Below are 25,193 nucleotides of genomic sequence, written 5' to 3'. Positions count from 1 at the left end.
AGGAGAGCATATTGTCCAGGTTAGTTCTCTATGGCAGAAGAGGTAAGGCTGGAGATGAAGAAAATTTGTGATCTGGAAGTACCTGGCAATGCATCATCCACTAACTTAATAACTTTCCTTACTGGTTTTGAGGGCCTAAGAACCCGTTTTTAGTGTCCCCCAGCTCTATTTGAGGAACTTTTATTCTTTGACGTGTCACTAATTCCATACTTTACTATGGAAAATTGCCTGTTGAAATCATACAAGTCATCAGCATATGGTACTTACAAGATAGGCCTCCCACCCATTCATAATTTAAACAACTATTATGTATTAATTATAGGAAATTTGGAAAATAGATATTTAAAGGAAAAAAGAAGTAATTCCACTTATTCAGGATGACCATTGTTAATATTTGGAACATGTAGCCTTTTTGATACACATTTAGTATACATACATTAAACATATAATTGAAAGTAGGCCACCTCTGGTATTTTGTAATATTAAGATTAATATTTTAAAACTTAATATTTTTTCATATTTCGTTGCATATTCTTTTAAAGCAGGGTTTCTCCACCTGAACATTACCGACATTTTGGGCTGGATAAGTCTTTGTTATGAGGAGCTGTCCTGTGCACTATAGGATATTTAGGAACATCCCTGGCCTCTACCCAGTGTATGCCATTAGCATCTTTCCAGTTGTGACAACCAAAAATGTCACATATTGTCAAGGGTGATTTTCCCTGAGGGGAAACATCATCTGGGTTGAAAACCACTGTCCTAAAGTAACAGTTCTCAAACTGAAAAAATATTAGTTTTCATAAGTGAAAAAACATTAAATAGTAAAAACAGTATATTTTCCAAAATTAAAAAAAAATAGCGAGAAGAGTGTCATTGTTACATTTTCTCAAATCTGTGTGTATCTGTCATAATAAAAGGCATTCACATTTAATCTTGCAAAATATTGGTTTAGCTGAAGTATATAAAGAAAATTATAGGCTGGGTGCTGTGGCTCATGCCTGTAATCCTAGCACTTTGGGAGGCTGAGGCAGGAGGATTGCTCTAGTCCAGGAGTTCAAGACCAGCTTGGGCAACATAGCAAGACCCTGTCTCTACAAAAAAGAAAACAATTAGCCAGGCATGGTGATGTGCACCTGTAGTCTCAACTACTCTGGAGGCTGAGGTAGGAGGATCACTTAAGCATGGGAGGTTGAGGCTGCAGTGAGCTATGACTGCCCCACTGCACTCCAGCCTGGGTGACAGAGTAGGACCCTGTATCCAAAAAAAAAAAAAAAAAAAGTTTTACACATCAGTTTTTATAAAAGGGAAGAGCATGTTAATGTCTTAGATAACTGTATATTCTTCCTTAATACTGTACCAAAACAAGTAGAAGTTTCTTAAAGATTAGTTGCAATGTAGAATATAAAACCATATCGAATAATTTCTCGTAGCCTGTTACATTGTTACATTAAAATCCATTGATCTGTCTTAAACTTTGGGTCTTTCCTCCCATGCATCATTTTATAACATCATACATCGATCATTTGGAAAATACTGGTTCACTGAGTTTTTCAGGTTTTCCAAATCTTGACACATTTCATTGTATATTTTAAAAAGTCACATTTGTTGACATTGCCACCAGTCTCATCAGAAAAGCCTCTGTGTATTGGGAAGTGGTTATGTTCACCATGGTGAATACAATTTTTCCAAAATTTTTATTTTTACTTGAAAGCTTGAATTTTATCATTGGCTACAAATACTGCCAATTATTTTCCTTGAGGTGACAGGCTCATCTTATTCATTTTTGAGAAAATATTAGCAAATACCCAAATCTGAATAACCATACTTTTTCAGTAATTTCAAGTAAAAATGTTATTCATGAAAAAAGCAGCCAGTTCAGCTCACAATGCAAACTATCTCATAGATACTTTTTCACAAAATAGGTATTGTTTTTCAGTGTGCAGCAGAAGTGTTTTATGTGTACTTTCTATTTTGTCATACAGAGTATTTAGATGTGTACTCTGGTTGAAATTTGATACAATTATTTTTACTGCTTCATCAAGGCACTCCTGAGTGAACGTGGCATTTGTGTTTTATTGTGAATGAGTGGCAGTTAAAGAATACACTGATGAATAGTACAATTTGCCGTCACTGCCCTAGCGCCAAGGCACCAGTGGTTTTACCCACCATTGCTTTTGCATTGTCAGTACAGTTTCAAACAGTGAAAAAGGCAAATAACATTGTAGTGTTATTGCGAAAAAAATTTTGACTTTGCAGACCTTCTGGGGTCCATGGGACACACTTCGAGAACAACTGTTCTGAAGCATGATATTATGACATCGTATCCTTTCAAGTGTCTACATCAGAATTTAACCAATTCTGTCTTGTTTCTTCTGTTTATTTTTTGCTTTTATCACAATCCTTGTAGCTAAGTCCAAGAGAAAAAATATTTTCCCTTAGAATAAAATCTTTAGAAGTGGAATTCTGAGTCAATGGGTGTGAATATTTTTTATATTTTTAAGATACATTCGATATATGTCACCCAATTGTCCTCCAAGATGGTTAAACCAGCTTATTTACACTTGGACCAATGTATTATGAGACTGCATCGTGGCTTCTGCTGGTCATTATTTTGTCTTAACCAATTCAGTCAGAATATTGGCATCATCTAAAAAGTGTATTATGACTTCTCATACAACTGGCCTTGATTACTAGTGAGTCTGAATATTTTAATGTTTTGGCCATTTTGTAGTCTTCCTTTAGACTGATTACAGTGCAACTCATTAGGTTGTAACTTTCTTTGTTAAAACAGTCACATTCTCCTAATTTCTCTTGAGATTATTCCCTAGTTAACCCTGTTTGCATCTGGATGTATATCAAATTGCAGCCTCTGATTTAGAGTCCCTCTCTTAAGGAGGTCGTAAATGTGCCTGTTCTCCAAATTTCAGAAGTTTGAGCCCCACGTTTTTGATTTTTGTTATATATAAGGAGTGTCACCTGTGCTATTAACATTTTTTCTAAGTTGACTTTCCTTATAAACAGCATTTGAAAGAAACTTGACATTACTATAAAGTCTAAGTCACGGGTTTTATGTGCTAGTTGTTTTTTTCTAGTACACCTTAAAATACGTAATTATTAAAATCATTTCTCTACTGTCTAAAATCATCCAGTGGCCTATGTTCCACACTTTAGGAAGAGCAGGGGCTTTGGACTCAGACATCTTGGATTTGAATCCCACTCTGCCTGTAACTGGCAGTGTGCTCTTGGACAGGTGCCTCAGTTTTGTGCCTCAGTTTCCTCACTGGCAAAATGGGGATGTTAGAAGATGAACTCTTAGGTGCCTTACATCTCTACTCTGTGACTCTGGTGTAAGGAGAAAGGGATATTTGAATGTTTGTGGATTTCTTTCTCTGTTTCTGATCAGGAATTAGAGACATTGTCTAGGGTTAGTATTTCAAAACCCTAGCTTTATTAAACTCCACTGCTATTAGTCATCTGATTTTGGAGAAACCATTTCATTTTATGGGGCTCTAGCTGTCTAGTTAGGGTGTTGCTGCTGCTTAATACTTCCTATTTAATGTAAAGTGTTTCTAGCTAGGAGCTAAGGCAAGCCAGGACCTCACTTTTAACATGTTTAAAATGGGGATGTTTCTGTTCTACTTACCTCATTAGAGACATGGAAAAATGAGATAATAGGTAGATAAGTGGACTCAGCTTTTAGCAGAAGGGTACTAGGTAAAAACAGGGTGTCAGCAGAAGTAATGCCTGTAGATGTTATCCCTATAGCTACTTCTGTAGTGAAGAGCAAAATTTGTGTGACACCACCTCTCCTATCTCTCCAGACCTGCCTGTACCCCCGCCTCTTCCCTGCCTACTGGTTTCGATTTGGGAAGTGCCACTGAACAGCAGTTTTATGACCTTGGGCAAATCACTCAACCTTAACTTATCCCTGGGCCAAAAATTGGGAGATCTGGCAATCTTGAGTCTGTATTTCTCTATGGCAACAACTGGCAAGAGCTGAATGGTGGCTTATCTTTTAAAAATACAGATATATTCTTCAGTCTGTCACTTAATCTGGCAAGTCTGACTCATTTACTTTGCTGCCTGGCCTCTTATATTTGCGAGGCTGGATTGCATCATGGTAAGGAGCATGGTTTCTGGAGCCACATTACCTAGATTCAGATGCCAACAATGACTCTTGGTAGCTGTGTACCCCTTCATATTATGTAGCTTTTCTGTAGTTTCATGTGAATTCCTACTTCGTGGGGTTGTTAAAAGGATTGGAAGAGCCACTACATATAAGACCCTTAGGATAGTCCCTGACCCAGAGTAAACTTAACTGATGTTAGCTGTTGTTTGAGTTCAAATAGCATAATAATTAGCTGACATTTATCTAGCTCTTAATATGTATCAGGCACTGGGCCAAGTCTTTTACACAGATCTATCTCATTAATCCTAACAGTAACACTGTGAAATAAGTAGTGTTGTTTTCTCAGTTTTACAGATGGGAGGACTATAATTTAGAGAAGTTAAGTAACCTGTCTAAAGGCACACAGCTAATAAGTGCCGGCGACATTGAGAGTTGAACCTGTGTTTGTGTATCCTAATCCTGTGGGTTTTTTCTTATTATTTTTTCCTATGTCTTACTACGTGGAGACTAAGCCTGTGGTTTTGAATGCTGTGCTGTGCTATGCTGCCCCACATTATATCACCTCTAAAATAGGTCTAATCACAGAAGTGGCTGGCTTGAGTAAATAGAGCTTAGTGCTCTTAATGTTTTTGTAGGTGATTTGAGGAGAGAATGAATATGAAATTTCCCAAATTTATATATGATGTTCCTTGAGGCAGTGAAATGCAAAACAATAGGGGATAAATGAACTACAGAAAACTCTTTTGGGCTGGATGGGGTGAGTGAATAGAAAAGTGGTAACTGAATTTCAGGGTAGGTACTCATGAAGAAAGATAACTCAAACTGTTTGTAGAATGATGCGCTCTGAGATATTTAAAAGGACTTGAGAGTTATTTTAGGCTATTATTTGAAGGTTAAAAAGGCCAGCAAACATTTCACACCCATTAGGATGACTATTATCCAAACAAGCAAAGAATAAAAAGAGTTGGCAAGGATATGGAGAAATTGGAACTCTTGTACGTTGTTGGTGAGAATATAAAATGGGGCAGCCACTGTGGAAAACAGTATGGCATTCCTCAAAAAGTTAAAAGTAGAATTACCATATGGATCCAGCAATTTCACTTCTGGTTATATACCCAAAAGAATTGAAAGTAGAGGCTCAAACAGATATTTGTACACTAATGTTCATAGTGGCATTATTCACAAAGCTGAAAGGTAGAAGCAACCCAAGGGTCCATCAGTGGATGAATAGATAAACAAAATGTAGTCTATACATACAATGAAATAGTATTATTCAGCCTTAAAAAGAAATGAAATTGACACACACTACAACATGGATGAACCTTGAAGACACTGTGCCAAGTGAATGGTGTCTAGGGGGAGAATGGCAGTTGTCAGTGGGAAGGGGTAGTTCTGGAGATAAAATGTGGTGATGGTTGCACAACGATATGAAAATGTGAATGTAGTTAATGCCACAAAACTCTATACTTGAAAATAGATAAAATCATTAAAAAAAAAAAAAAAGCCTGGAAAGTGCTTTTCTTCCTTGTGTAAAGCTCCAGAACATTCCTCATTTGGAATGCTAGGTGCTGTTCTGTCCTCTGCATGTTGGTAGAATGGATACAACTTAGTTTTAGGCTCCAGGCCAAGCTCTTTGGATTATTAGCAAGTCATTTTACCTCTCTGATACGTGTCTAGAAAAAGGGCCTACATAATCCTTACCTCACAAGTGACAATAAAATGAGATATGTAAGTGATTGAATTCCTATACAAATATCAATTATTTTCAACTTTGGAAAAATAACAAAACAGACTTATTTTCCATCCACTGACGTAGCTGGGCTGTGTGTCACACAGACTGTGCCTCTGTAATGCGCTGCAGTTTCTTGGAGCTTAGGAGAGGTATGGTTAACACAAAAGGAGGTTTGGTCTTACACAGTACACTCACTGAAGAGGAATAAATGGGCTGAGAAGAAAGCCAGGCTGAATGATTTTCCTTTAGGCTTCACAGTTAAAAAAAAAGAAAAGAAAAGAAAACACTTTAGCAATATGAAAGGGTATTAAGTAAAATTGCTATCTGCAAGAGATGACCTCTGCTAACCATTTTGCATCTGTCTTTGTATGTATAAATTTGTGTATGTTTTTGTGTAATTGTATCATACTATTCATATTCTTAATGCTACCTAAAACAAGGTTTGAAAGATTAGGACAAGTTCATGGATGATACTTTACGGACACAAGGACAATTTGAGAGCTGTGTGCACCTAATATATATCACACTGGGCTAAGTGCTTTTACAAACATTATCTCACCACACACAACAAACCTGGGAAATAGTTGGTATTTTCTCCATTTTACAATAAAAAAATTAGGGTAGAGGAGTAGAGTAACCAGGACACATGAATGGCGAAACCAAGATTTGAATCAAGTCCTTTTATTCCAGAGCTTGCACTTCCTGTACCCTTCTATAGCACCATCTTTGCTGCCTCTCAAAGATGAAACCCCAAGCTCTGTATCTAATCCCATTGTTACTTGTTAAAAGAATGTTTTGAACAATTAATACAGTCACTAATACGTTATATTTTAGAAATTGTTCCATGTGAGTATAGACAGAGCTGCCTCATGCTTTTATTTATTTAGGCTGCATTGTACATATATAAGTAGTAAACTTTCTTATATTTTTTATTGTGAAATGTATACAACATAAGATTTACCATTTTAACCATTTTTAAGTGTACTTACTGTTCAGTGGTATTAATTACATTCATGTAATTAATACATCACCACATCCATCTTTAGAATTTTTCATCTTGCAAAACAGAAACTACCCATTAAACTATGACTCGCCATTCCTCTTTTCCCCCAGCCCCTGGCCACTGCCATTCTACTTTGTCTCTGATTTGACTATTCCTCATGTAAGTGGAATCATACAATATTTGTCCTTTTATGTCTGGCTTATTTTATTAAACAATAATTTTAACCAGACTTCTGTTGATGGACATTTAAATTATTCTTCTTTGGCTCTTCAAACAATGATAAGTTCCAGGAATATTCGACCCAGAATTTCAGACTGCTTTCTCAGTCCTGTGCTTGGCTGGCTTTTGAGGAAACCCAAAGCAAATCCTTACCTCAGCTTTTCTGAGCAATAAAATAAGAAGAATGTTAAATAATTACTTTGTTATAGTGTGTTGTAAGGGCTTGCTTAGTTTCTGCTTATAGCTCGGGACCCTTTGGGAAAGGGTACTCTTTAAGTATAAAGGTTTTCTGTAACTACAAAGCTGCTGCCACAATGTGATTATAGTACATTTTTTGATGAATTAGTGATTTTAGTGCAGAATGAAACCAACCCAAAAAACCAAAACCAGAGTATGTAGTTGTATTTTCTTGGGGTTCTCAGATGAGTTGAAGGTAAGCAATTGTTTGTGAGGAAACCAGGCTTAGAAGGCCTGGCCTCTGCTTGTCTTTGCCTGGCACTGGCACTGAGAAGAAAGGCCTAGCCTTCCCGAGAAGTCCCTGTGCTCCACCTCCGGTGCCCCAGAGAGGCTGGGGCTAGGGTCCCTCTCCTGAGGCTGACCCCATTCTCATCCAACTGCCAGGCCCATGGGGCTGGCTTAAATGGTCTGAAATGATCCTAAATATTCTTCACTTGGATTATTTGCAGGTCAGTCTCTCTCTGTGGAACTAAACAATAAATCTCTGCCTTTCTGAACTGACTAGGAGATTAAGGGAGACAATTGTAGAGCTGCTTTTGCGTCTGAACTGACTTTCCCTTGCTTCACCAGCCCTCGTTTGCTTTGTTGAATCAGAGGCTTGGGCACAGCTGTTTAGCGCCCTCTGCTGGGTGAAAAGCAGCCTAACGGTTTTACATTATGCCTCAATTTGTACTGGTTGTTTTTCTGCCAACGCATACTTGAAGATTGCCTTTGCATAGGGCTCTTAATACCTTGCCTAAAGGAATGAGGGGTTGAGTGGAGTAAGGGGGTGTGTTTAGCTTACATCTTCTGATGCTAACCTTGAGGGCAAAGTCAAGAGGCAGGCCCCATCACAGCGATGATTTTTGCCTCAGTGATTCCAATCTCCCATGGATTGGGCTGTCATCATCATGTTAGTTACTAAGGACACATCATTTAAAACGATCCCAAGGCATTTAACAAATAGCCATGAATTTTGAATTACTGAGTACTAGGCAAAATGAAATCATCCTATAAATGCCTAGAATGAACATTAAAGATTATTTCTGTCTGGGTAATGGAGGGAGACCTTAGGCTGAGAATGGTTATGAGTTGGGCACAAAGGTATAGATATTCTGGTTTCTTTTTTTTTCTTTTAGTAGAGACAAAGTCTCACTATGTTGCCCAGGCTGGTCTCCAACTCCTGAGTTCAAGTGATCCTCCCACCTCGACCTTTCAAAGTACTGGGATTACGGATCCTCCCACCTCGACCTCCCTAAGTGCTGGCATGAGCCACTGGGCCTGGCAGATATTCTGTTTTTGGTTTTTTTGTTGTTGTTTGTTTTGAGATGGAGTCTTGCTCTGTTACCCAGGCTGGAGTGCTGTGGCACGATCTCTGCTCACTGCAACCTCCGCCTCCAGGGTTCAAGTGATTCTCCTGCCTCATCCTCCCCAGTAGCTGGGACTACAGGCGCACAATATTCTGTTTTTACTTAAGCTGCTTCAATTCAGGAGAGACTGTGCTGTAGGTCTTAGTGAGCCATGAGTATCCCAGCCCATCCTGCAGTCTTGTTTTTTTTCTTTTTCTATCATGAACATTAAACATAATCCAAAACTCTTTATTATGGAAATATTCAGCCAGGCTCACGCCTGTAATCCCAGCACTTTGGGAGGCCAAGGCGGGCAGATCACTTGAAGTCAGGAGTTGGAGACCAGCCTGGGCAACATGGTGAAATCCTGTCTCTAAAAAAATACAAAAATTAGCTGGGTGTGGTGGTGCTTGCCTGTAGTCCCAGCTACCCATGGAGCCGAGGCAGGATAATCAGTTGAACCTGGGAGGTGGAGGCTGCAGTGAGCTGAGATCATGCCACTGCACTCCGGCCTGGGTGACAGAGTGAGACTCTCAAAAAAAAAAAAAAAGAAGAAGAAAAAATTGTTCAAGCATACACAAAAGTAGAATAGTATAGTGTATGCATCTATAGCAATTGTCCATATTAATCATCTATCCCTCTACTTTTTTTTCTGGAAAGTTTTAAAGGAAATTCCAGACATACTCCATTTCACCCACTTCAGTATGCACCTCTAATTGATAAGGATTTTTTTCTTTTTTAACATAACCATAATGCCATTATAATACCTAAAAGATGTAACAATACTTCCTTAATATGGGGTATTTAAATGAAGTAGAGAGATACCAATCGGATTTGACAAAATGTTGATGATTTGTTAAATTTACTTCCAATATTATTATTATTACTGGTAGAAGGATTTACTTATGATGTTTTGTTTTTAAGACTTTGTTTTAGAGAAGTTTCAGGTTCACAGCAAAATTAAGAGAAAGGTACAGAGGTTTTCCATGTACCCCTTATTCCCACACCTGCATAGCCTCCTTCATTGTCAACATCTTCCACCAGAGTGGTAAATTTGTTAAAATTGGTAAACATATACTGACACATCATAAACACTCAGAGTCCCAATGTTCAAAAAATGAACCTTAGAGTTCACTTTTGGTATTGTATATTCTATGGGTTTGGACAAATGTAATGACATGTATCCATCATTACAGTATCATACAGAGGATTTTTACTGCCCTAAAAATCTTCTCTGCTCCATATATTCAACCCCTGCCTCCAAACCCTGGCAATTAGTGATCTTTTTGTTGTCTCCATGATTTTGTCTTTTCCAGAGTATCATAGAGTTGAAGTCATACAGTATGTAGCCTTTTCAGATTGGCTTTTTTCATTTGGTAATGTGTACTTAAGGTTTCTCCACGTCTTTTCACTGCTTGATATTTCGTTTCTTTTTATCACTGAAAAAGTTTCTGTTGTCTGGTTGTACTACAGTTGATTTATCCATTTACATACTGAAGGACATCTTGGTTGCTTCTAAGTTTTGGCAATTGTAAATAAAGCTGTTGTAAAATAAATCCATGTACAGGTCTTTGTGTAGATACAAGTTTCAACTCCTTTGGTTAAATACCAAGGAGCATGATTGCTGGATTGCGTGATAAGAGTACGTTTAGTTTTGTATGAAACTGCCAAACTATCTTCAAAGGTGGCTGTACCATTTTGCAATCCTACCAGCAATGAATGAGATTGCGTGTTGTTCCACATCATGACCAGCATTTGGTGTCATCTAGGTTTTCTCCTACTATCTTCTAGGAGTTTTATAGTTTTGGTTTTACATTTAGATTTATAATCAATCTTGAGTTAATTTTTATGAAGGGTATAAAGTCTGTATCTAAATTCATTTTTATGCATGTGGATATTTAGATGTTTCAGCACCATTTGTTGAAAAGACCATTTTTGCTCCATTGTTTTGTCTTTGCTCCGTGGTCAAAGATCAGTTGATTATACTTACGTGGGTCTGTTTTTGGCCCCTCTGTTTTGTTCCATTGATCTATTTGTGTATTTGTTTGCCAGTATTATACTGTCTTGATTACTGTATATTAGTGGTAACCTGAAGTCAGGTAATGTCAGTCCTCCAACTTTGTTCTTCAAAATCATGTTGACTATTATGGGCCTTTTGCCTCTCCTATAAATATTAGAATCATTTTGCTGATATGCATAAAATGAATTTGCTGAGAATTTGAGTGGGATTGCATTGAATCCATAGATGAAGTTGGGAAGAACTGATATCTTAAAAATACTGAGTCTTGACCAGGCATGGTGGCTCAAGCTTGTAATGCCAGCACTTTGGGAGGCCTAGGTGGGCAGATCAACTGAGGTCAGGAGTTCAAGACCAGCCTGGCCAACATGGTGAAACCCCGTCCCTACTAAAAATACAAAATGAGCTGGGCGTGGTGGTGGGTGTCTGTAATCCCAGCTACTCAGGAGGCTGAGGCAGGAGAATTGCTTGAACCCGGGAGGCAGAGGTTGCAGTGAGCTGAGATTGCGCCATTGCACTCCAGCCTGGGCAAAAAAAAAAAAGTGAAACTCCGTCTAAAAAAAAAAAAAAAGAATCTCTGTCTATTTATTTAGTTCTTTGATTTTGTTCATTAGAGTTTTATAATTTTTCTTATGTAGATCTTGTAAAATCTTGTTAAATTTATACCTAAATATTTTATATTTCAAATTCCACTTATTCATTGCCGGTATATAGGAAAGTGATGGACTTTTGTATATTAACCTTATATCTCACAATCTTGCTAAAATCACTTCTGTATTTTTTTTTAAAGAAACACTACAGATACACTTAAAAGCCTCTTTTACTATGTGTGTTTATCCATAAACAATATAAAGTATTGTTTTGTATATTTAAAAATACATGCTTAGATATTATCCCTTTCATATCCTTTCGAAACTTGCTTTTATTACCATTAGGTTTTCAATATTTATTCATGTTTGTTTACATGTTTCTTGTTCACTTTAACTGCTGTATGATGTTCCATTGTGTTTAGACTCCACCTATTTTATATTCCAGTGGAATTTTTCCATTCCTGAATTGTTAGATATTTATGTTGTATATAGGTTTTCTTGATATTATGACCAATGCTTCAGTGAACTTTCTTGTACATTCCCTTGTGCCACTTTGTGAGAATCTGTCTAAATTATAACGTACATTTCCCTGATACCATATAGAATTTGAGATCTTCTATAATATGTTTGGTATTTGGGTTTCCTTTTCTGAATGGTTGTATTCTTTGCCTCTTTTCCTATTGGAGTTTTAAGAATTATTTGTAGAAATTCTTTGCATCTTCTAGACATTAAGCCATTACCAGTTTTGTGCACTGCAAGAATTCTTATAAATTCAGGCAGTCCTGTTCTGGTCCTTCAGTTTACTCCAGGGGCCAGTTTGCTGGAGTTAAGTCAGCTTCTGTTTTTACTTCTGGGCTCCCTTTATTCTTACTTAACATTTATGAGTTATGCTACTAAGGCGGACAATCCCTTCAACTGTCCATCAGAATGAATTTGCTTTGTCAGTTATGGTTCATTTTTTGTTCAATAAGGCAGTATAGAATAGTGGTTAAGAGTCGGGGCTATAGAATATTTACTGCTTGCTTTTGAATCTTAGCTCAATGACTTTATTGTGTGATGTTGGCATATTACTCTTTTGTACTTGGCTTTATCATCTATAAAACCAATGAGGTAGAAGAAGTATTATGATTACCATTTTATGTTTGATGAAACTGAGGCAGAGGGAGATTAGGTCAGAAACATGAGCAAGTAGAAGAAACGTGTGCCTCTCTTTTAACTTTTTGCTTTTGCTAGAGACATAAGTATAGAGAAATACTTATCTAATTAAAAAAAAATATAGTAGCAGAAGCAGTGATAAGTCACTGACTCACAGCCTCAGTGTTGGGAGAAAACCATAGGAGTGGAGACTATAGAGAACTAAAGTGCCCATACCTAAGTCTGTTTGCAGTGTGGAAAACCATTTGTGCATTTTTCATTAAAATAAAGTGACAAAAACCCAAACCATGATTTTCATGACCTTAGCTTGATGTTTTACAGAATGGTAAATTTGTAAGAAATACATAATTTAGATACTATCCTAGGCCAGAGAACTCATAGTTGAAATAGGCCAATCATAAAGAGAACACTGTGGGCCACACTTAAGACATCAGTTTGGTGGACGACTTGATTTGGACTGACAATGGAAGGAAGAAGAAATTCAAGAAACAAAGGAATTCAAGTAGCAAAGACAATTTCTTTCTAGGAGCAGGAGAATAAGTATGATTTGGCTTCTGTATCTTCTATTTTTTATTATAAGAAGAAATCTGCTGTGGCAAAAAGTCAAGCAGTATAGGAAGGTAGAAAGTAAAAGTTTTCCAACAGTATATACCCAAATTGAAAGGAGGGACTCAAAAAGTTATTTGTACACTTGTGTTCATAGCAACATTATTCACAATAGCCAAAAGGTGGAAATAACCCAAATGGTCATTGATGGATTAGTGGATAAACAAAATATGCATACAAATATATATACGATGGAATACTATTCAGCCTTAGAAAGCAAGGAAATTCTGATACATGCCACGACCTGGATGCACCTTGAAGACATTATGCTAAGGGAGTGAGCCAGACCTAGAAGGAGAAATACTGTGTGATTTGACTTATACGAGGTTCCTAGAGTAGACAAATCCATAGAGGCAGAAAGTAGAATAGTGACTACTTGGCCGGGCACAGTGATTCACGCCTGTAATCCCAGCACTTTGGGAGGCCGAGGTGGGTGGATCATGAGGTCAGGAGTTTGAGACCAGCCTGGCCAACATAGTGAAACCCCTTCTCTACTAAAAATACGAAAAATTAGCTGGGCGTGGTGGTGGGAGCCTGTAATCCCAGCTACTCAGGAGACTGAGGCAGGAGAATCGCTTGAACCTGGGAGGTGGAGGTTGCAGTGAGCCGAGATTGCGCCACTGCACTGCATACTCCAGCCTGGGCAACAGTGCGAGACTCCGTCTCAAAAAAAAAGAACAGTGACTAGGCACTGGGAGGAGTTATTGTTTATTGGGTACAGTATTTCAGTTTGGGATGATGAAAAATTTCTGAAGGTGAATAATGGCAGTGGCTGTACAACAGCACAAATGTACTTAATGCCACTGAATTGTACACTTGAAAATGGGTAAAATGGTAAGTTACATGTATATATATATATTTTACCACCATAAAAAGTCTCCCAACACCAGCCTACCAGTTATAGTTGGCACTATAAACAGCTTCTTTTATAGCCATCTAGATAGGGCTATGCAAATACAAGCATAGATATGCGAGTATAAGCATACTGTCAATGCATAGATATGCGAGTATAAGCATACTGTCAATGCTCATTCCTTGGAGCACTCATGTAGGTGCCAGGTATTTCCCAGTGAACAAAACTGACAAGGTTTCTGCTGTCATGGAGCTTTTAAAAATTTTGTTTTATGCAAATGGATTACATACTGTTTTATACCTCATTTTCCCCCTTAACGGGTATCTTTGGACATCTTTCTGCATTAGCTTTTGTATAGATCTAACAACTTAATGGCTTCATAGTATGCCCTTGTATGGATGTGCTATCATTTGTGGCTGCATTTTTCATTGAATGGAGTAAGGGAGGTGGAGGTGTAGAGCTTGCTATGGTTTGCTGCTGTTGTAAATTAAATTTTTATTAGGAAAATAGTATAGCCTTCTTATAAAAAGTCAATGCAAAAAAAGTAAAAGTAAAAAGTAAAAATGGGAAAAAACAATAACAACCAACTTAGACCCAAAGTTACGCAGAGTTAAGAGCTGGGCTGAGCCATATTCTGTCTAGATCCTATTACTGTAAGAGTCAGGTGATTTCTTAGTTATCATTTGTATGGTGTTCCACAATCAATGAGATCATATCAAGAAGATTGCTTTGAAAACCATTATGCTAGAAATATTACTTTAAAGTTCTTTGATTGCAAGCCCTGGAAGTCATCTCAGGTTCTATTAAACAAACAAACAAAAAAGGACTTCCATGAAGGGGTTCTAGGTAGCAAATGAAGAAATATTTAAACAACTCTGGAAAGACAGGAACAGGGTGGCTTTAGGAGTCTCAATATCAGTGCTTATCCCTTTCATTTTCTATGTCTGCTTAAGATTCAATTCCTGGGAGAGATGAATGGCCTAGAGAACACGTGCCTATTGATGGTGAAGCAGGGAGAGTCCTGGGTTTTTGTGCTCCATGCGAATCTTATGGAGTTGGGGAGGTGCAGTTTTGGAAAGGATGGGATTCAAGGCTGGCAAAACCATCTGTCAGCCTTGCGATGTCAGCTGTTTTAAGCACAGATTCTTATTTCCTTCTTAAGGAGGAGATGACCGCCGGGTTCTGCTATGGCACATGGAACAAGCCATCCACTCCAGGGTCAAGCCCATACAGCTGAAAGGAGAGCACCATTCCAACATTTTTTGCCTGGCTTTCAACAGTGGGAACACTAAAGTGTTCTCTGGAGGTAAAAAGGGAGATTCTACCTTGGGAACGTCACTGTGGTTGGGATTTTAGAGAAAAGAGTGCGAAAATAACTCCTTATTTTTCTTCCTGTATTTCATTGAGCTGTGGAATTACTGGTTTCTCATAGCTTGTCTTTTCTGCATTACAGCAGTATTATATATTAGGATAGTGTGTGTCTTTTCTCTCTTCTCTTTTTTTTGCTTTTCTTCACCTGTCTTTTTCTTTATTTCTCTTTGGCAGAAAACTTTTCACATTGCAGTCTGGTACACAGAAACACACACAGACACACACACATATTTGAAACAATACTTAACCTTCCTATTTGTGGCACACTCTGGTTTTTTTTTATTCTATTCGATTTCATTTTTAAAGATTATGCTGGCCATAACGCAGATGAATGTCCTGACCCACAGATGGCTCCTGTTTGAAAAGTGTTGTGTTAGGGTACAATTGGAATGGCTGGTGCTCACACCAACCTCTTGGTGATGGCTTCCATCAACCATACTCCTTCTGACCCCACATTTCTAGTTCTGACCTCTTTTCTGAGCTGCAGATTTTCCCACTGGATATCTACCTGTGTTCCAAAAGCAACTTAAATACAATAGATCTAAAACCAAGATCATTAGTCCTCCCCTGAGTGAAAATTTCTTCTTGTCTGCTGGATTTTCTTTCTCAGTTACAACCATTCACCCAATTATATAAGCTATTAGGTTTAACTTTAAGAAATTGCTGACAATTAACCATTTTCAACTTTAAAAAGTAGCAGTTTCACATGGTTCATTCTACCTATGATCTTGGAGTCATCCTCAAACCTGCCTTTCTTACATTTACACATCTAGTCTGTCACCAAGTCCTGTCAGGTCTATCTTGAAAGCCTCTCATACTCATCCGTTAGTTTGGCCTGGATTTTTGCAATGGCCTTCTGTGATTTCTGTTACCACTCTCTAATTCTCCTTTGAATTCATTGCATACACAAGTTTACTTTTAAAAATAAAGACTGGACCATGTGAACCATTGAGCCTACAGTGCCTGAAGAATGAAGTCTAAATCCCAATCTATCTGTCTGGCCTGACCTCCCTTCCCTGAGTTATACACTGTAGCCCACCAAACTATTTGTCATTTTAAGAATGCACTGCATGGTACTATTTTGCCCTTGTGCCTTTTGTTCATGGTGTTCTTCCACCTTAATTGTCCAGTCCCCACCAATTCCCCTAAGCCTTTCATTGGTAAGAGTTTTGAGTTATTTGAGTTTCTCTTCAAAGGTCTCCTTCTCCATGTACTTTCACCCTGCTTATGAAGGAAATAATTGACCCCATAGCTAGATCATATTGCTGCAAGGCAAACCCTCTTGTTGCTGTTAGTTGTTTGTCCAGTTGGACTGTTCTCAAGTCCAATTGGAGTTCTCAAGGACAGAGTAGAATCTTATTCTTTTTATATACCCAAGACCTAGCACTGTACCTGATACCTAGAAGGCATTAGTATGGGTTTACTGATTTCATTGGTTTGTACCTACAGTAGAATTTACAGCCAGGCCTTTGTTTAAGATGCCCTGGGCCATATCTTTACTGCTACTTTTGCTTTCTATTTAAGTGACTGTTGGTTGTGCATTTTAGCATAGAGTGGGACTTTTTTCATGTTTTGTCTTCTTATATTCAGGTTTTAATTTTTTTGCTATACAAACCATTTGAAGGCAGGACTACACATATCATGAATATAATTTATATCCTTTGATAGAATAAGGAGAAATACAAGATTAAAACTTTCACATCATTTGGAATCACAGTCATCAAATTTTCATGCTATAAAAGATGATGAGGCTGGGCATGGTGGCTCACACTTGTAATAATCCCAACACTTTGAGAGGCCAAGGCAGGAGGATTGCTTGAGCCCAGGAGTTTGAGACCAGCCTGGGCAACATAGTTAGACCCCAACATGTTAGATCTCTACAAAAAAAATTTTTTTTTTAATTAGCCAGGCATAGTGACACATGCCTGTAGTTCCAGCTACTAGAGAGGCAGAGGTGGGAAGATTGCTTGAGCACAGGAGGTCAAGACTGTAGTGAACCATGATTGCACCACTGCACTCCAGCCTGGACAACAGAGCAGGATCCTGTCTCGAAAGAAAGAAGAAAAATTTTTAAAAGACAAACAGAGCAAGATCCTGTCTCAAAAGAAAGAAAGAAAGAAACATTTTTAAAAGACCATGAGGATAGAAATATTAACAAACATTTATTGGGGGCTTATTAAGTGATCAGCCCTATTCTGAATGCTTTTACAGATGTACTCTTATGCTTACAGTTACTCTATGATGTTATTATCCCTATTCTGTAGGTTAAAAAGTTAGGTCATAGAAATGCTAAAGATTTTATTGCAGGTCTCATGATTAGTGAGTGTTCTGCTGAAAAAGAAAAAAAATAAAGCTAGTGAATTGATTTGTCAATGATCATTTAGTGTTTTTCTTGATGGCCACAGTTTTGTTTTGTGTTGTTTCCCCCCTACTTTTTTTTTTTTTTTGAGACAGTCTCTCTCTGTTGCCCAGGCTGGAGTGCGATCGTAGCTCACTGCAGCCTTGAACTCCTGACCTCAAGCGATTCTTCCACCTCAGCCTCCTTAGTAGCTGGGACTTCAAGGGTGTGCCACCAGTTGGCTAATTTTTTTATTTTTATTTTCATAGAGATGGAGTCTAACTATGTTGCCCAGGTTGTAGCCACAGTTGTTTTTTTTTTTTACATCATCCACTGGATAATACACATTGGGAACTGTTACTGTGTTATACTTGGATGCCATTATTTTTTAAAAATTCTCTGTAAGAATGTCCTATCCTTCTTAAATTATTTCTATAAATCTTTTTTCCAGTTAACACTTCTAATTTGTATTAGCATTGGCTTTGTTCATATTTTTTCCCTGAAAACTTAAAAATACTAAATTGTAATGTGGACAGGGACCACCTTGCACGAATGATCAGATGTCTGCTTTTTTCTTTTGCAGGCAATGATGAGCAAGTTATCCTCCATGATGTTGAAAGGTAAATAGATTGGTGGTGTGTGAAGGTGATTGACTTTGTTTTTCATATATGAAGAGGCAAATATCTCTTTAGACTAAAATAGTTTTTGTTTTTTGAAAAAAACAACATGAAACCAGCTGTTCTTTTCTAAAAAAATTCCTACAATAGTTTGAAATAAATAAAGTTTTGATTTAAAAAGGAAAAAGGGATTTGAAAGTTTTGAAAGTTGGTATGAGAGTGTACTTTTTAGGTGAAAATTTAAAACAAGAGTTTAGAAGAGAAGGAACCATAATATTTAAGAACAGTAATAGCTAATATTGATTGAGTTCTTACTATGTGCCAGACACCATTGTAAATGCTTTGTACATATTCATTCATTTAATCCTCACACTCATTTTCTGAGGAGATACTATTGTCATCTCCGTTCTAGATCAGGAAACGGAGTCACAGACATGTTAGATAACAGAAGGTCAGGTGGTACTAAAACCTGAACTTAGGCTATCTGGCCTCAGAGCCATGCTCTTCATCACCATGCCAGATTGCTAGGAGACCCCTCTCCCATCCTGTAGGCATCAGACTTGGCTGCTTTAAAGCTTTCCCTTGCTTTTTGAAAATCAAGTATGACCCCCAAATCTGTACACAAGCAGATGCATTCTGTAATAAATGAAAATACAAAACTCAGCTATTGAGTCACTTTTAAATATGCTTATTTAGCACAAAAATTATAAAATCTCTAAAAAGACTCCTTAATAGTACCTTTTTTTTAACCTGAAAGTTGACTACCTACCTTTCAGGAAATATAATATTTTTTGGGTTTAGCTAGGTTGACTTTCTTCTAGAAATGGAAAAGATGGCACCCTCGGTACCAAAGTGCTGGGACTCTGCACTATGCTTGTGTGTATGTGTGTGCCTCTGTCTTGCTCTCTTATCTCCCAGCAGTGAGACATTGGACGTGTTTGCTCATGAAGATGCAGTATATGGCTTGTCTGTGAGCCCAGTGAATGACAACATTTTTGCCAGTTCCTCAGATGATGGCCGGGTTCTCATTTGGGACATTCGGGAATCCCCCCATGGAGGTAGGCTCACTGTGCAAATGACTGTTGGACTGTGTTGAACAGTTTGATGTCAGATTCATTGAAGATCCAATTTATTACCTCAGTATCTATGTGCAAGTGATGTCAAGGGAAAGGAAATGTGAAACACTCACATGGGGGCATAAGAGGTCTTTGGAGGCCTTATCCTCCACCTAAATACTCAGGAGTGAGGCACCTTTGCCAGTCCTTCTCCACCCTCCTGTGACTCTCCACAAACCCTTGTACTTTGGTGTTTAGTGCCCCAAGGAGCAGAAGTTGTGGTGCTGACATGTAACTATTCTTGATTATTTACAGAGAATGGGGGCGTTATGCACTTTCCTGCATCCTAGTTTCAGGCTTGTTATTTTGTTGAAAGAACCACCGAATCTCAAATTACCTGTGTATAGGATCTTAAAATGATGGCAAATAAACTCTGTTTAAAGGGGATTGTCGTGTGAGTGCCTCCTCTGAATGTGCCCTTTGACTCTCTGATGTGTGAAATGAAGAAGTTGCTTTGTTGACTTTCTCTGAAGTTCTTCAGGAAATGCATCTTCTCAGCTCATTTCCTACAGAGAGATTTCTGTAATTCTACCTGTCTTCAAAAGGCCCCTTCCTCTAGTACCAGCCTTAGTGCCACTGCCATACCCACCGTGGCCTTTAGTGCAGATTGTAATGATCACAGCTGTGTACCTAAATTTACTATCCTGCCTGCTCTGTCTGGCAGGATCTGGGTCTTTTAACTTTTCTATGTTCTAAACATTTTACATTCTGGGCTGTGCTCATTATTTAGGTTCAGGCTATAAGAGAAGCTTGTTTTTAGGGTTAGGCAGGTAAGGTAGCACGAAGTAGCAGCTGTGGTCGAGTCACTGTGGGCTTGGTAAGTGAAATTCTCCTTCGTCTGAACTGCCTGATGGCAGAGATGACTGAGTGCTTTACCTGCTCAGAGACCTGTGAAATACTGCATATGGAGGTCATAGACTGAGAAGTGCTTTCTTTGTATTACTCTAACAGGTCCCATAGGAGTATATCCTGCTAGGTAACTAAGTGATTTCTTCCTCACTTGGAACCTGCTAATTTTTGTAAAATGTTGCAGGGTTTCTAGGTGAAGTTGATTACAGACTGGCTAGATGTTAGGGAGCATTGTGAACCAGAAGAGAAAAACCACACCATTGTGTTTCACCACGTCTTAATTTTGTCATTGTTTTTTTTAATCTTCATCAAATCTGTGCATGGTTTAAAAACTTTTCTAAAACTAATACAATTGGATTAAAAGCATAATAACCCTACCATACTTGGTTGTGAATTTTTTCAGCTCATGTGGAATTCAGTTTTACTTACTGTAAAATGGCTTATTTTCCCATTTTTAGTGGCCGTTTCTGTTTTGTGTCAAGATCTGATAGCTGCTATATATATTTCTGGGTGTTATAGCTTAAAATGTGGTTAAATGTGTTTACCTTGCTATGTATAGGACTCATGGGGACCTTGTAAGTAGAGGTGACTGGTGGGATTATGTGCTGTTTTGGGGCTCCAGGCCGTTGGAGTGGTTATTAAAGAGTGCTCCGACCTGTATTCACATTCCTGATTATCTGCCTGCCAGTGGCCCACAGGTACCTGGAGTGAACTGATTATAATTTTTCTTTCCACAGAGCCCTTCTGCCTGGCAAACTATCCATCAGCCTTTCATAGTGTCATGTTTAACCCTGTGGAGCCCAGGTTGTTGGCCACAGCCAATTCAAAGGAAGGAGTGGGACTCTGGGACATTCGAAAACCTCAGAGGTGAGCCCCCTTTATTCATAGGTGTTAAAACTTTCCTCTGCCTCATTTCTCAGGTAATGTGACCAGCCAGTAAGTGTTGTAAGGACCTCTTTGGCAGTTATCTCTGCTGGGCATTTCTTAAGATATATAGTGTCTCTCAAGCCAGGAGAGCTTGTTTCCAAGGAATAGACAGCGACAAATCCGTACTCCTTGCTGAGGAGGAATCATAAACAGTAATCTGGACTGTAGACAGGGTGAGTTTTAGGCAATTATCTGAAGTAGTCAGAGCATCCCTTTAGTATTGCCTTCTCTCTTCAGACCCAGGGTTCCCCAGATGCATAGGAGCTCTTGGTGTGGGGTGGGTGGAGGGGAGGAGGTGGAGGTGGAGATTTGCCAAACTTGTTGCTGCTGAGTCAGGGATTCTTAAGCCTAGGTTGGAGGGGATCCCTAAGAGGGCTTAAAAAATACTGAACTGCCAAAATTATATGAAAATTATATATTGTATATTCAAATAAGTGCATTTTCTGTTTATCAAAAGGACTAATGACCTTTATAGTGACAACAACAAAAGGTTAAGAGCCATTGCACTGTGGTGTTCAGGACCTCATGTGTTTCTCCACATGGCACTATGAAAAGAGCATACTTAAGACAAACCTGAATGATGGCATGAATCACTAATGGGGGAATCTCAGGCATCATTAAAGGATGTGGGAATGGGGGTGAGTAGCAGGCTCTTTTATGTTCCTTAAGTCCCATGGGGGAGGGACTACTTTTTATGGCACCTGTACATAAAGTTGGCCATGCTGTATTAAAAAACTTCCGTGTATTGCTAGCTAGCTCCTCTGGAAATTCTGCATAGATGTAATTTCCCACTTCATAAAGCAGTGTTGCAGAAGAATATCATGGAAACTAAGTGATGTTATAATTTATTTCACGGGCCTCAGATGAAAGGAGTAGTTAAGTACAGAAGATTATCTTCCTTGATGATTTTTACTCCTAGGTGATTCTCTCCATGGGGCAGTAAGAGATGGTTGGAACTATTGTAGCAGATCGGTGTAGCCCAGAGGTGTGTCCCTGTCATTGAGCAAGGCTCCCTAAGCTTCCTCAGGGCAGCAGAGATTTCTCCTGCCCCTTCTGTTGCGTAGGCACCTGGCTCTTGCTTTTACAGTCTATTGAAATGTGTGTAGTGGCAGGACCCCTGATGTGCCTTTGCACTATGAACTTTAGGAGGCTTGCTGTCTGCCAAGAAGACAACTGTGTTCATCTGCAGTGTTCTCTGCTACTTCAGGCTCTTTAGGAACAACTGTTCTGCCTCATCCGTATTACAAAAGGCAGGATTTGGACAAACTGCACCAGCCTTCTCTCAACCTACTATCTCTCCTACTTATAATTGCAATGAATAGCTGGCAACTGGAGTGGGGCACTGAGCTGTTTATCTCCAGTGGAAAGCTTGAGCAATTCATGGTGTCTGCAGTGTCTTGAGAGAGGAGGGGAGTGTGGATATTTTAATTCTCCCAATTCTCTCCCATTCTCTTCCACCAGTTTCTTACCGTGCATTATATGGGCCCTCCCCCACTTTCCACTTGTCTCCTCACTAATAAATATAGTTTCTTTCTTGTTAAAAGAATTGAAAGTGATGATGATTATTGTATTTTTACAGTGACATTTATTGGTTTGGGGGTTTTATGCAGAAAAAAATAAAAACAAAAAAACAAGTTCCATCTCCAGATTATCTCTGTTACTTGTATGTTTTTAAAATGTTTGTCTATCAGTACAGTTCTGCTTCTTTCTAGTGTCTGTAGTCACTCCAGAGGTAACTACAGTGAACAGTTTCTTATCTTTCCAGAACTTAATGTAATGTATATACGACTATGCATATGCATCCTTTAAAAAAATTGAGACAGAAGGAAGCACGTAGTAATACTCACTGTTCTCGATTTCTTTTTTAAATTAACAATATGTTTTGGAGCCTTTTTTCATACCAACACTAACAGATCTAGCCCCTTCTTTTAATGACTATATGGCATTCAATTTATATGATGTACCCAACAACCAGGGCTTCTTGTTTCCAGTTTTTGGTCATTATAAACAATGTTACATTTAACCTGGTTATAAATCTATCTTTATAACCAGGCCTACTTTTGCAAAAATATCTGTACGGACTTTGCTACATCAAAGGATGCATGTTTTTAAACTTTTGATAGAAACTGTCAAATTGTAGCCCCACCACCAAAGGCTGTACTAACTTACAAATCTGCCAACTGTGTATAAGATTGCATGTGTCTCCAGACCTTCACCAACACTTGAACTATTGCTAGTATTATGGGGGAAAAATGATATCTTGTTTTGAGTTCTTCTTCAATTATGGGTAAGGTTTTATAGTTTCTTTGATAACCTACGGTTTTCAGAGCCCATATAGGAGAAAAGTTGCCCAGTAGGGCTAATTGACAATCATGACTAATTTCTTTTTGGAATAAAAGAAGGAGCATAGTGCCATGGGGACTAGGATGTTTTTGCATTTATTTCAACTCTTCTAAGGTTCTACAAGGTTTTATGGGTGTCAGGCAGAAAAGGGGGATGAAATATCCTTGGAACTCTTCTTAACTTAGCATCCACTGGAGTTTGGGGATGAAATTACAGATCTTTTCTGTTAGAATTCCCTCAGTACAAGTTGGTTTGGGGGAAGAGACCACCCTTTTTCTTTTCCATGTAGGATTAGTTATGCTGAGTTGCAATAGATAATTTGTCTCTTGAGCACAGCTGCCTAGAAACCCCAACCTAGATTTTGGGGCAACTCTAAATCTGTTGGGAGGACAAGCCTGGAACACGATAGAACTTTTTCAGGGATACTTCAAGTGTAGGGAGAGATTTTAAGGAATTTGTGAATCCCCTATAACTGCAGGTAAAATTGTATGGCTTGTGTATCTGAGTGAACACATGTCATATTTTTTCTAGGGATGGTAGAAAGTTTTTACCAAGTTCTCATAGAGACCCTTGACTCCAAAAGGATAAGAGTTGCTTGGTGTTCTGATTACCCTAGGTTTTAAACCTGTTGTGGTTCCTTATCAGGTTTTTAAATGACTTCTAGCTTGTAATTGCACAGGCATGTGGGTGAATTCAGGGCCTGCTGTCCTAGAAACAGATAATCTCCTTGGAGCAGTGATGAAGGTCTCACCCTGAACACCTTCTCCTTCCTGGCTTAACCTATGTATTAGTCAATGCTTGAATGATTTCCCTGTCTTACCCCAAGCCTACACTATACCTCTCCACTTGGTAGCCTGAAGGTATAGGAGGAGAGTCATTTTTGTCCCACTGCTGCCCTGAAATAAGCTGATTAGAGGGCTGGCTGGCAGAAAAAAAAAATGTCAGCTCTAAAGAAGACTTGAATTATAATATGATCAGACTTCCTCATTGTACAGATTAAGAATAAGAAACTAGCCCAGTGAGGTAAGGGGAGGAAGAAGAGCTTGATGGTTTAGTGTAGGAAGTATAGGCTCTGAAGCCATACTTCTTGGTTACAGATCCAGGTAGTACACCTTAATAGGCATGTGATCTTGAATAAGTTACTTCACCTCTCAGTGTCTCATAATAATAAATAATAACTAACATTTATTAAGCATTACGTGCCATCGGAGTATTGACCATCATATGAATAATTACCTCATTTAATCCTTATGATAACCCTATGAGGTAGCTTCTATTATTCTTATTTTAAGAAAATCAAGGCACAGAGAGGTGAAATAACTTGTGTGTTATTTGTGTGTGTGTGTGTGTGTGTGTGTGTGTGTGTGTATACATATATATCATCCTTCCCCTTTCCCCTGTTTTTTTCTTTTTTTTAGTTTTTATTTTTAGAGACAGGATCTCACTATGTTGCCTAGGCCTCAGCCTCCCGAGTAGATGGAATTATAGGCATGAGCCACCACACCCAGTTCCCTCTCTTACTAAATCACATAGGGTCCCTGTACATTCTAGTTTTCTTTCATCTGTGCCTCCTTACAATAGAACTTTTTCAGAATTCCTTTCAAATTTTTCCAATATGGACCTGTCATACTCTGAAGTCTGAGTCCTTTAGACTTCCTGTCCCTGAAAGTTAAACCCTTTTTCACTGTCTCATGGCCTAGAACCTGTTCAAACTTCTTACCTTTTATAACCCTGGAAATCTGCATATACTATTTATTTTGCTGC

At 38.4% G+C, this 25,193-nt stretch overlaps 1 protein-coding gene across 14 annotated transcripts in view, besides 1 other annotated feature; it reads left to right on the top strand.

The window, feature by feature from the left end:
* Positions 1-25,193, top strand: part of DCAF5 (DDB1 and CUL4 associated factor 5) — a 102,317-nt gene that overhangs the window by 15,806 nt on the left and 61,318 nt on the right. For 10 of the 14 annotated variants that reach the window (XM_006720297.3, XM_011537278.2, XM_006720299.4 and 7 more), the window contains 4 exons: positions 15,032-15,175; positions 18,162-18,198; positions 19,114-19,253; positions 20,897-21,026. In XM_006720297.3, the coding sequence (XP_006720360.1) occupies positions 15,032-15,175; positions 18,162-18,198; positions 19,114-19,253; positions 20,897-21,026 (451 nt within the window). Of the gene's footprint in view, positions 1-15,031; positions 15,176-18,161; positions 18,199-19,113; positions 19,254-20,896; positions 21,027-21,545; positions 21,725-25,193 lie in introns of those variants that run through there. The other 4 variants (XM_006720298.3, NM_001284206.1, XM_017021737.2 and 1 more) reach the window with 3 other exon arrangements.
* Positions 3,706-4,000: a silencer, noted in NCBI's record as "tiled region #12367; K562 Repressive DNase matched - State 5:Enh". NCBI's record gives its function as "represses a minimal TATA promoter and a strong SV40 promoter by Sharpr-MPRA in K562 cells {active_cell/tissue: K562}" and the evidence as "EXISTENCE:reporter gene assay evidence [ECO:0000049][PMID:27701403]".

Source organism: Homo sapiens, chromosome 14 (genome assembly GCF_000001405.40).
Source record: "Homo sapiens chromosome 14, GRCh38.p14 Primary Assembly".
NCBI lineage: Eukaryota > Metazoa > Chordata > Mammalia > Primates > Hominidae > Homo > Homo sapiens.
The sequence above is the reverse complement of the archived record's forward strand: the minus strand, read 5'-3'. Positions and strand labels throughout refer to the sequence as shown.